At 34.1% G+C, this 13,650-nt stretch overlaps 1 pseudogene; it reads left to right on the top strand.

The window, feature by feature from the left end:
* On the top strand, nt 12,729-13,369 carry RPS26P2 (ribosomal protein S26 pseudogene 2; annotated as a pseudogene).
* Nucleotides 13,370-13,650: the final 281 nt, after the last annotated feature.

Genomic DNA, 13,650 nt, shown 5'->3' with positions numbered 1-13,650 from the left:
GCATTGCTTTTCTAAAATTAATGTCTAGCTTTAAACCGGCTATTCCATCAAATATAGATAATTTAATTCAGAAAGAATGTATTGACTGAACAAGTTTGCTTGGTCACCTTACACCTGGGGCTTCTATCATTCATCATTTAATGATCCAATAAGTAGAGTGGTCTTGTGTTTCTATTGCATGCAAAGGAATGAGCTAGAATCTTAGATTATGACAAGTAGGTGAAACATACATGCATATTATCCTCATGTAATTTTTAGTCTATTAAAGTTAATACTAGAAAATGATATAAAACAAACACCTTAATTCCTGCAGTAATGCAACAATTATTTAATGTATTGAATACTTATTAGATGCCAGCTACTGAAAATACAGAAGCAAATGGAGCATTATTTCTGTCCTTAGGTATGAAATTATAAAAATTCCTTTGATTTATTCATTTCCACTTGTATGCATTACAAAACAGCAATAACAGATAAAATCATATTATAATTTGAATATAGCACTTATAATTTCCAATGTAGCTCTGTATAGATTCTGACAAGGTCATTACAACTTATGTCTCAATTTCTCTCCCTTCTAGGACCACTGGGATGGTGACATCACCCCCGTGGCTAGACCAGATGGGAAGGCCCAAAGCAGCAATCAGTTTGAACTCCACTCCCATTGTTCTCTCCAGTTCTGTGTGTTCTTTGAAACCTAGGTGGGGGCAGCCATGTCTCTGGGGCCTGTGTACTCTGGTGCACTGACTTCTGCTGAGTTAGCTGGGTGGGACCTCCTTCCCAGTGCACTTAGAAGGAAGAACATCAAACCAAAGAAGATTATTCTTGAGGCTTAAGGTCTAATGTAGTTTGCCTTTCTAGGTTTCAGACTTTTCTTGGGAACCCTCAACCTTCCCTCTTTCCTGCTTGTTCCTGTTGGAATGGGAATGTCTATGCTATGTCTGTTTATATTTTGCAAGTATATAACTTGTTTGCTTTCACAGGTTTACAGATAGAGAGGAATGTTGCCTCAGGATAAATTGCACCCTAAATCTCATCTATATCTGATTTAGATGATATGTTGATGATATTTTAGATTTTACAATGGATGTTGGATTGATTCCAGACTTTTGGGGCTGCTGAGATAAAGTGAACGTATTTTACCTGAGAGAAGAACATGAAATTTGGAGGCAATGGATGGAATATTCTAGACTAAGTATTTGACCCCCGAATTCATATGTTGAAACCCTATCCCTCAATGTGATTGTATTAAGGGTGTAGCATTTGGAAGTAATTAGTATTAGATGAGATGACGAGGGCAGAGACCTCATGAGTGGTAATAGTGCCCCTATAAGAGTTCTAAGAGAACTTGCTTCACTCTGCTCTACACCATGTAAGATTACAATGAGAAGTCAACAGTCTGCAGTATGAGAGAGAGTCTTCACTAGAATCCAACTATGTTGTCACCCTGATCTCTGACTTTCAGTTTCCGGAACTGTGAGTAATACGCTTCTAGTTTTTATAAGCAACTAAGTTTATGGTATTTTGTTACAACATCCTGAACTAAATAAGACAAATGAGTACAGCCAAGAAGACAGGTGACTCCCTCTACCCCCATCTTCAAGTTCATAGCTGTGATTTCACCTCAGAAGGGGCAAGCCATCAGCCTTTCTCATCCTTTCCCCACCAAAACAACTATTAAAGAATTTCCCTTTTCTCATCTAGCCCCTACTTGTAGGATGCAAGCTCCACTCCAAATGTGGCAGGCCAAGAACACTGTGCTCTGATTGCCCCCATTCAGATTGCTCATGAGGAAGATGTTTCACACTGAGAAAGGTAAGTGGAGAAGACCAGGAGCTATTATCTCTATCTTCAGGCCTGCTCATAGTGACAGGATATTATTCCAGAGAACTGAGAAGACATCTGGTCTCCTAGATCCTTTGTGGTGACACAGATGTTCTGTCCAGAGAAGGGGAGGCATGCTTTATTGAGTAAGAGCTTTGCAGCTCCGTTTAAGGAAACTGACTTTATTTGAAACAGGGCATGTAAAATTCCATGCCTAAGATACCAGTCAAAATCACTGGAGATCATGATTAATAGTAATTAAGAGGGTTTTCCTAGCTCCAGAATACTAGCAGCAATCAAAACAACAGAACAACAAAACTATAACAAAAATAACCTGATTAAAGTGTAGCCAAGTATCATTCTTTTGGAATCACAGGCAATTCTGGAAGCCAGGAAGGTTGTGCACGTGTACTAGGCTAAACTCAGGGCAATGAGAGCAGGACATGGGGCAGACAGGAAAACATGAATCTGCCCACAAATCCATCAGTATAGCCTGGAAGCCTCACTGTCAAAGGCACTGAAACACGCCACATGAGCAAACATGGATAAATAGTAAGCTACTATAAACTGGCTCAACTGCTAAAAACTAGGATTAAAAATAAAACCAAAAGCATCCTTGGAGAGATAGAAGACTGTGTGCATGTCCAGGGCTGTCCCTACTCAGAAGTGGTCAGAAAGAGAAGATCAAAGTTACTAGTCCCTGGCTGAATGTGAGGCAAAAAGTTAAACTCCTTGATCTATGATAGCACCTCCAAGCCACACAAACACAGCCAATGGTAAAACATAAAAACATAACTTACTAAGGGAGCATAAACACCACGCTGGGCAAATAAGAGGCTTCTGCTGACCCAGGAGGGACCATTTGTTAGCCAGGCAAAAAGACGAAATCAAGGAAGACACTCTGAGAAAGGGCATGCTCCAGAAGAAACAGACTTTACAGAATTAGATTAGCCAAGTCATTAAACAAACATACAAAGGGAAAGCAAACAACAACAATATTAACCCAACCTAGGGGGATCAATATTCAAAGTTGATCTATATTATCTAAATATTATCTAAATATTTAGATAATATATATATATTATTATCTAAAATATATTATCTATAATGTATTTTATCTAAATATATGTATTTAGATATTATCTATTATAATATTATCTATTATCTAAAATGCTTATTATCTAATATATTATCTAAAATGCTTATTTTTTAAACAAAAAATTATGAGGTATATAAAGAAACAAGAGAGAGGATCCCATACACTGGAGCAAAAAAAAAAAAAAATACAAATACAAATCAGGCAATAAAAACTGTTTTTGAGGAATCCCAGATGATATTGGAGTTTAGTGAACACAGACCTCAAAGTAACTATAATAAGTATGTTGAAATGCTAAAAGGAAAGCAAGTGCAAAGAATTACAGACAAAAAAAAAAACCTGTAATGGCAATTTCTCATCAAATACATAATTGCAATAAAGAAGTACAAATTATTTTAAAATATTTGTGGAATTTACATTAAAATAATAAAAAATGTACTGGTATGGCTGAACAGTATATGGGAATTGGCAGAAGAAAAGATCCACAAAATCGAAGAAAAATTGATAGAGATTATGCAATTTGAAGAATAGGGAAAATAAAAAAAGAAAAATATACAGTCTCAGATAAATTTGGGTTATCATTAAGCACACCAACATACACATAATAAGAGTACCAGAATAAAATGAGAGGTAAAGAAATATTTTTGATGAAATAATAACAGAAAACTTCCCAAATTTGGTGAAAAACATTTATACATTCCAAAGTTTGAAGTTTTTAGTAAGCTGGATAAACATACAGTTCCACACTCACACATGTCATAGTCAAATTGTTGAAAGCCAAACATAAAAAGAAAATCTTGAAAGCAGCCAAAGAAAACCAGCTCTTCACACAAGGAGCCCAATACAATTAACAACTGATGTAATAAATAATTGAGTTAGAAGGCAACAGAGATGACATATTCAAAGTGCTGAAAATTTAAAAATAAAAATTAAAAAAGTGCCAATCAAGAATTTTTACACTTGAATAGCCTACAAAAATGGATCTTTTCCAAATCATTTTACTATCTAGAATAATATAATAAACATATTATAAACGTTATCCTAATGTTAAATGAAATATCCTACACTTCCAAAATGAATGCTCTCAATCCTAGCAAAAGAAAGAAAACAATGTAGTGTGGTAGAAGGTGCACAGAATTTTTACTTAGAGAAAAGTGAGATTGAATTAAACATCTGCCATTTCTTAGCTGCCACGGAATGGGCAAGATTCACAGTTTAAAAATCTCTGAAACAGAAATTAAAATACCTACATCGCAGGGTTATATAATAATTAAAAATTAAGACCTGCCATATGAGAAAGTGAGATTTGAGAAAAAATTGTGGTATGTAAATGGTTATTAATTAATTAAAACTGTACATTTCCAAATAACTCACTCAATGTAAATCAGAAGTCCCTGTCCCTGCTTTCCACAAATGGTCAGGATGCTCAGGGGATAAAATATTACTAATCAACAAAATTCTTCAGAGAAAGTAAATATATTATTTTCTAATTAGCAAAGTTTCAACACTCAGTATATTTTCATGAACACTCTATTGCTAAGTCTTAACTACAGTGGAATCAGATGATGTTTGAAAATATTCCAAACATTTCTTTGTTCCATTATCTTAGGTAAGCTTTAGGTGTGGATATAAATGCAAATTTGTTGCATAACTGGAATTTTAAAATAAAATCACTGAAATCCACTATATCATGACACAGAGGCAGAACATAAACCATTGTAACTTCACAAGTTTTTGCAGAGGTTTTAAGTTTTTCATAAATTATAGTTTATCTTACTACTGGCCACCCGGAAATAAAGTTATCTGTCTCTCTTGCAGTTAGAATAGACCATGTAACTGAGTCCTTGTTAATAGAATATGAAAGGAATTATGTGTGAAATTTCCAGACCAAGACATTATGAAGCAAGTGTGACCACCCTGTATTTTCTTCTGCTGCTGGCTATTGTCAAATAACACAAACGTATGCAGGAATACCAGAGTTACAAGATTTACTTTGTTAAACAATTTGCAGCAAAAAGCTAACCACCAAACACACATATTAATATTAATGGTTCAATAAACAAGGAAGAAAACCTCTAGTGTGTTTGAGCAATTACACATATTAGGATCTTTTTGGAACTACAATTATTTCAACATGTACAAAGTACATATTAGCATGGAACTAACCAATGAAAGACGCTTTAACAATTGAAGTTAAAAATATTTTTATTCCTGAATTTCTAAAGTTATTCAGTATATACTAATTAAGTCCTCTCTTTGTGTTAAACTTTGTATCAATACCAAGAATAAAATATTAATTAATGACCCAAGTTATTAGAAGGTTATATTATTTCATTCTGTGGATAGACACCTTTCTTCCAGTGGCAACTCAAATAGAAAACAGTAAAAAATAGAGTAGATATTTATCCATCTATATAAGCAATCACTTTGAATATCAATTTGTCTTAATGTACAGATTAAAGGACAAAGATTATCAGATTGGATTAAAAATAATACTCAAGTTAGTATATGTTGCCTACAAGAAACTCACTTCAAAGACATACATAGCTTAAAAGTAAATGAATAGAGAAAGATATATCATGCTAGCACTAATCAAAAGAAAGTATAAATAACTATATTAATTTCCAATAAAGCAGACATCAAACCTAGCTAGGAAGATAGATAAAGAAAGACATTGAATAATGATAAAGGGGTAAATTCTTAAAGAAAGCCTAAGAATCCTTAACATGTATGTGCCTAACACTGTCAAAATATGCAACGCAAAAACTGATAGAAATGTAAGGAGAAATTGGAGGAAATTACTACTGTATTTGGGTAATTCTACAACCCTCTTTCAGAAATGGACAAATCCAGCAGACACAAAGTCATTAGTAACATAGCTGAACTCAAAAATACCATCAATTAACTGTATGCAATTGATATTTGTAGACTACTTCATCCCACAGCAGAAGTATACACATTTTTCTCAAGCTCACATGATAGACAACATGCTGGGTCATAAAACACATATTAAAAACTCTAATGATAGAAATTATACAATGCCAACTCTCAGAACACAATGGTACTAAACTATAAATTAGTAAATTAAGAGTAACTTGAAAATTCCAAAATATATGGAGACTAAAAAACACACATCTAAATACCACATAGTTGACTTCATGTCTGTCTTTGCTAAAATTTGAGTAGCGCTGTGATGATCATATAAGTCCATATGTGGTTCCTTTTTTTTTTTTTTTTTGAGACAGTGTCTGACTCTGTCACCCAGCTGAAGTGCAGAGTGCAGTTGCAAAATCATGGCCTACCTCAGCCTTGACCTCCCTGGATCCAGTGATATTCCCACCTCTGCCTCCTGAGTAGCTGGGACTACAGGTGCACGCCAACGCATCCAGGTAATTTTTGTATTTTTTGAAGAGACTAGGTCTGGTCATGTTGCCCAGGCTGGTCTTGAATTCCTGGGCTCAAGCAATCTTCCCACTTCAGCCAATGTGTTGAGATTACAAGCATGAGCCACTATGCCTGGCAACATGTCTTTTTGGTAGACCAACTTATTTTCCTTTGGTATTCATCAGTGATGGACTGAATAAAGAAAATGTGGTATAATACACAATGGAATACTGCACAGCCATAAAAAAGAACTAAATTATATCCTCTGCACCAACATGATGCAGCTGGAGGCCATTATCCTAAGTGAATTAACACAGAAAACCAAATACTTCATGTTCTTACTTATAAGTGGGAGCTAAACATTGAATAAACATGGACATAAAGATGGAAAAAATAGACACTGGATACCACCAAAAAAGGGAAGGAGGGAGGAGGCATTGCATGAAAAACTACCTATTGATAGCTGGGTGATGGGATCCTCAGAATCGTATAATGTACGCATGTAATTAACCGGTACATGTTTCCCCTTAATGCTAAACAAATAAATAACACTTTGGTCAAAAGAGAAATTTCAAGGATGATTTAAAAATTTTGAACTAAATGAAAATAAAAATAAAATATCAAACTTTGTGAGGGGCAGTGAAAGCAGTGCTGAGAGTGAAAGTTATTGGTAAAGAAGAAAGAGCTAAACTTAACATTTTAAGCTTCCACCTTAGGAAACTAGAAATAGAAAAGCCAATTAAATCCAATGTAAGGAGAAGAAAATAAGTAATAAAAATTTGAGTAGAAATCAATGAAATTGAAAACAGGAAATCAGTAAAGAAAATCAATGACTTTTAATCTTGTTCTTTGAAAAGATAAAATTGAAAAGCCTCTAGCCAAGCTAAGTAAGAAAAAAAATAGAATATAAATTATTAGAGATAAAAGAGGTGCCAACACTACACATTCCAGAGATATTAAAAGGATAACAAAGGAATATTATGAACTACTCCAAACTTACATATTCAATAAATATGAATAAAATGGGCCAATGTCTTGACAGACAAAATTGGCTAAGACTCACACAAAAAGACATTCATAATGTCTATCAATGAAACTCAATCAATAATTAATTAACTTATAAAGCAAAAAGCACCAGGCCCAGATGTATACATTAGTGAATTTTTCTTATCTTTTATATAAAATAAATTATACCAATTTTCTGAAAACTCTTTCAGAAGGTAGAAGCAGAGGGGCTACTCCCCAATTCATTCTCTGTTTTCAGCAGTACCCTGCTACCAAAATCATTCAGAGTCCTTCCAAGAACAACAACAAAAACCTGCAGATCAACATCTCTGATGAGCATAGATGTAAAAATTCCCAACAAAATATTAGCAAATACAACAAACTATGTATAAAAATAATCCCACTTTATGACAAAGTGGGATTTATCTCAGGTATGTAAAGTTAGTTCATCATTCAAAAATAAATGATTGTAATCCACCACATCAACAGGCTAAAGAAAAAAAAATCACATGATTATATCAATAGATGCAGAAAAAGCATTTTACAAAATGAAACATCTTTTCACAATAAAAATTCTCAGTAAATTCTGAATAGAAGAAAACTTCCTAAATTGATTTTTAAAATATACAAAAAAAAGAAAAACAACAGACAACATTATACTTCTTCATGGTGAGAAAACTGGAACCATTCCCACTAAGAACAGAAACAAGGTAAAGATATCTCTTCTTGTTACCCCCTTTCAAAATCACACTGGAAGTCCCAGCTAATGTAATAAAATAAGAAAAGGAAACAGAAGGTATACTGATTGTGAAGGAAGAAATAAAATTATCTTTGTATGAAGATGACATGACTTTTTATCTGGTATATCCGAACAAATTAGCAAAAATCTCCTGAATCTAATAAGTGATTATAGCAAAATTGCAGAATAAGAAAATATATAAAAATTACTTGCCTTCCTACATATGAGGAATGAAAGTGAAATTTGAAATTAAAAACAATACCATTTACACTAGCATCCCAAATATGAAATACCTGGTTACAAGTCTAACAAAATACAAATAAGATCTATATGAGGGAAACTACAAAACTGATGAACTTAATACCTGGAGAGATATTTTACGTTCATGGATAGGAGAACTGAATATTGTCAGAATGTCAGTTTTTCCCAACTTGATCTATAGAGTCAATGCAATCTGAATCAAAATCCCAGAAATTCGTTTTATTGATAATAAACTTATTCTAACATTTATATAGAGAGGCAAAAAGTCTTACAGCCAACTTAATAACGAAGAAGAGAAAAGTTGGAGGATTGACACCACCCAGTTTCAAGACCTACTATAAAGTACTATAATCTTGACAGTGTATTGGCAAAACAGTAGGCAAAACTATTAATGGAACAGAATTTAGAGCTCCAAAATAGAGTTCTATATTCTGTTCCATTGATAGTTTTCTCTACCATAAATACAGTCATCTGATCTTTGAACAAAGAAAATATAATGGAACAAAGATAGTTTTTTCAATAAATGGTCCTGAAACAACTGGACATCCACTTGTAAAAAATGAATCTAAACACAGACCTTACACTCTTTGCATAAGTTAACTCAAACTGTATCACAGACTAAATGTAAAATGCAAAACTTTATATCTTCTAGAAGATAATGTAACATAAAATCTAGGTGACTGAGAGTCTGGCAAATTTTTAGAAATGACAATGAAGGCACAATTCATGAAAGAAAGAATTGATACACTAGAACTTATTAAATTTTTTTAAATCTGCACTGGGAAATACAGTGTCTAAGGAATAAATACAAAAATAAGGCACAGATAAGGAGATAATATTTGCAAAAGACATACCTGATAATTGTTGTTTAAACTATACAAAAAAATTCTTAAAAGTCAACAATAAGATAACAGACAACCAGTTAATAAGTGGGCCAAGGACCTTAACAGAGACCTCACCAAAAAAGATAAACAGATAGCAAATAAACATATGAAGACATGTTCCACATCATGTCATCAGGGAAATAACAATTAAAAGAACAAAGATATACTACTACCAAACTATTAGAATGGCCAAAATACAGAGCACTGACAACATCAAATGCTGATAAGGATGTGAAGCAAACTGAACGCTCATTCATTTGCTTGTGAAAATGCAAAATGGTACAGCGATTTCAGAAGACAGTTTGGTGGTTTCTTACAAAACTAAATAAACTTATACCATGTGATGCAGCAATCATACTTCTTGGTATTTATCAAAAGGAATTGAAAGTTTAGTTCCACGCAAAAACCTACACAAGGACGTTTATGGCAGTTTTGTTGTTGTTGTTGTTGTTGTTTGTTTTGAGATGGAGTCTCACTCTGTCACCCAGGCTGGAGAGCAGTGGCACGGTCTCAGCTCACTGCAGCCTCCGCCTCCCGGGTTCACGCCATTCTCCTGCCTCAGCCTCCCGAGTAGCTGGGACTACAGGCGCCCGCCACCACGCCCGGCTAATTTTTTGTATTTTTAGTTGAGACGGGGTTTCACCGTGTTAGCCAGGATGGTCTTGATCTCCTGACCTAGTGATCCGCCCGCCTCGGCCTCCCAAAGTGCTGGGATTACACGCGTGAGCCACCGCGCTCGGCCCGGCAGTTTTAATCATAACTGTCAGAACTTGGGGAAGAAGCTCGCCAAGATGTCCATGTATATTACTAGTGAAAGATGTTAGTCTTAAAAGGCTACATACTGTATAACTCCAACTATGTGAAAGTCTAATTAAGGCAAAACTGTGAAGACAGTGAAAAGATCAGTGGTTGCCTGGTGTTGGAGGAAGGGAAGGTGTGATGAACAGACAGAGCACATAGGATTTTTAGGACAATGAAAATATTTTGTATGATATTATAATGGTAGATACATGTCATTATACATTTGTCCAAACTCACAGAATATACAATAAAAAGAGTGAAGCTAATGTAAATTACAAACTCTGGATGACAACGATGATTACAATGATATATGATTGTAAATTCATCAGTTTTGACAAATGTACTGGGAGATGTTGATAATGCAGGAGGGTATGCATGTGTAGGGACCAGGGTTATATGGGAAATTTCAATACCTTTCTTTTCATTTTGATGTGAACATAAAATGGCTCTAAAAAACTAAAGACTTTTTAAAAAGGTAATATAGTGGACTTTTTGGGATTAAATATTTTAGTAGAAAACCCAAAAAGAAAATAGCTCTATTAATAATTTAGAGGCAAGTTAGACAAGACTTAACTCCTGAAACGAAGAATAATAAAGTTGACAAGAATTAGAAGAGATTGGCTATGTGCAAATTTATGCACTAGTAGAAAATGTCTGATATGTACTCTCTTAAGAATACATTATCTTATGAAAATAAATCTTAACAATTCCTCTGTAACATCATTAATAAATATCAGGAATATTCTTATAAGTATAAAATACCTTTTATAAAAGGGTATATACTATATGAATCTATTTATATAACATTCTTGAACAGGAAAAATTAATCTGTGGTTAAAACAAAATTGGATTTGCCTTAGAGTAGGAGATTACATTGATGGGCTGAAAATGTATATGAGAGAACATTCTGGCGGTAATGATAATGTTCTAAATCTCATCAAGGTTCTATGTTATTTATTTGAAGGGTATATATATGTGTGTAAAGACACAGCAATTGCACATTTAAAATTTGTGCATTTCATTGTAAAGTTTACATCATTTTTAAAAAGGACTCATATATTAAACTTTAGTTAATGATTTGCATAACGTGAATGTTCATATCTAGTTGGTATTCACTGTAAAATTCTTTCAAATTTGATGTATTCTTGAAAATTTTTCATAATAAAATACTGGAGAAAATGAATAATGAACTTAGGTACTGAGAATAGAGCAGAGGGGAAAACATACTTTTTTCACTTTAAATGGTTTTAAAATTTTATGTCTATTTTACTTTTGCAATTTTTGTTTAAGATGAAGAACCAGCCCAGTCTAAGTGTGATATATCAGCAGTGTCTCAGAACCAAAGTTAAGAGATATCTGTTCCAAGTGATATACATGAATGTGCACATAAAAGTGTCTTATATTGGATAAATAATCTTGCTTGCTCAAGTGTAAAGTTAATTTTTGAATACACAACTGCACAGAAGCTTCAATATGTTTATATATATAATAATTCATTAAGAGGAGATTTAGTAATCCGTGTTTTCTAAAGATTGACTACAAAACCTATGTTGTCCATGAATTAAAGTTTATTGAGCACAATAATAGATATGCTGAGCCTAGACATTGTACAGCCAAAGACATAAACCTCTCTACTGAATTTAATCAAATCAGTTGTACAGTTATCTAAGGTTGGTGAAAGGGAATCAACAAACTTTTGCATCTACAAAATTCAAAAGCGGATGTTTTACTCTACAAAAATATGTGCAACTCTCCATATAGATGGCTCTGTTTATTAACTTAATGTCTGTCAGTACCATTATTTTTGTGTTATGAATCATGCAACTTAAGTTTATTTTAATCTTAACCACTTAAGGAAGTGAATGTAATTAATTGTGTCTATGCAATTTGTCTATAACAATTAATACATAGTTATGGGGACACATTTGAATTATAGTGAGAATAAGCCATTATAATGAAAATGAGGTGGTAGGAAAATGGCCCAGACACAAAATAGACTTATTTTGAAGAAATAAATTTTCTTTGGATTTGGAAATTCAGTGATTTATAGTCGTCTATCAAAATATTATACAAGCTTACCAGAAGACAAGATTTGTTAAAATCTAATAAATTTAAATGGCTTATCTTTGCAAAGTATGATAGATCCATAAGGTATTAGTATAGCAGAGATGGTGCAATACTCAAAATAATTGTCTGAAAATCTTCTTAAAGGTTGCATTGGATGAATTTAAATAACCAGGAACTCATGTATGTACAATGATCATAATATGTAATTAAATTAGGCTGTATTTCATTAATGTGGGATAGCCAAAGTAGTATCAAATAAAATAATTTGAAGAGATCTTTTAATTGTTACAATACATTGGTAGAGAACTCATTCAGTCTCTAGTATGCAATGTATTTCTTCCGATTTGTATGGTATTGTCATCATTACTTTGTAGAAGCACTTCAGATTTTAAAATTGGGCTGCTCATTGTAAAATTATAAGAGCACTCATTTGATAAATAGGAAAATATTGAGAAAATAAATTAAAGGATCATTAAATTTGTATTCCTTTGTAGGGTACTATTTTTGTGTCAATAAATGGCAAGTGTCTAAGACTGAAAGGAAATACATATTATCCAAGGGAGGAAAATGTTTTATGTAAATATCAGATAAAATAATACGTTTCTACTAATAGTGATAAATATAATTGTATAATACATTGAACTTTTACAATAATTTATTTTTCTAGCTCTCTCCGGTCCGTGCCTCGAAGATGACAAAGAAAAGAAGGAACAACGGTCGTGCCAAAAAGGGCCGCGGCCACGTGCAGCCTATTCGCTGCACTAACTGTGCCCGATGTGTGCCCAAGGACAAGGCCATTAAGAAATTGGTCATTCGAAACATAGTGGAGGCCACAGCAGTCAGGGACATTTCTGAAGCAAGCGTCTTCGATGCCTACGTGCTTCCCAAGCTGTATGTGAAGCTGCATTACTGTGTGAGTTGTGCAATCCACAGCAAAGTAGTCAGGAATCGATCTCATGAAGCCCGCAAGGACCGAACACCCCCACCCCGATTTAGACCTGCTGGTGCTGCCCCACGTCCCCCACCAAAGCCCTTGTAAGGAGCTGAGTTCTTAAAGACTGAAGGCAGACTATTCTCTGGAGAAAAATAAAATGGAAATTGTACTTAATATTGCATGTTAAGTGTATCTGTGCCAGATAGGGTGGGGATTTTGTGTGTTAGACCAAGTATAAAGTGACACATATTATTTTCATGGGGAAGAAAGCTTATTCATGTAATTTCATTTTTTTCTTTTTTGTTTTCTTTTTTTTTTTTTTTTTTTGAGACGGAGTCTCTGTCGCCCCGGCTGAAGTGCAGTGGCGTGATCTCAGCTCACTGCAACCTCCGTCTCCCGGATTCAAGTGATTCTTCTGCCTCAGCTTCCTGAGTAGCTGGGATTACAGGTGTCTGCCACCACGCCCGGCTAATTTTTGTATTTTTGGTAGAGACGGGGTTTCACTATATTGTCCAGGCTGGTCTTGAACTTCTGACCTCAGTTAATCCACTGGCCTTGGCCTCCCAAAGTGCTGGGATTACAGGCTTGAGCCACCTCGCCTAGCTATTTATGTAAATTAAACTTTAATTGTGGTTGGATCCTTGGCCTCACGATT

This window comes from Homo sapiens, chromosome 9, assembly GCF_000001405.40.
Source record: "Homo sapiens chromosome 9, GRCh38.p14 Primary Assembly".
In the NCBI taxonomy this organism is placed as follows: Eukaryota; Metazoa; Chordata; class Mammalia; order Primates; family Hominidae; genus Homo; species Homo sapiens.
The sequence above is the reverse complement of the archived record's forward strand: the minus strand, read 5'-3'. Positions and strand labels throughout refer to the sequence as shown.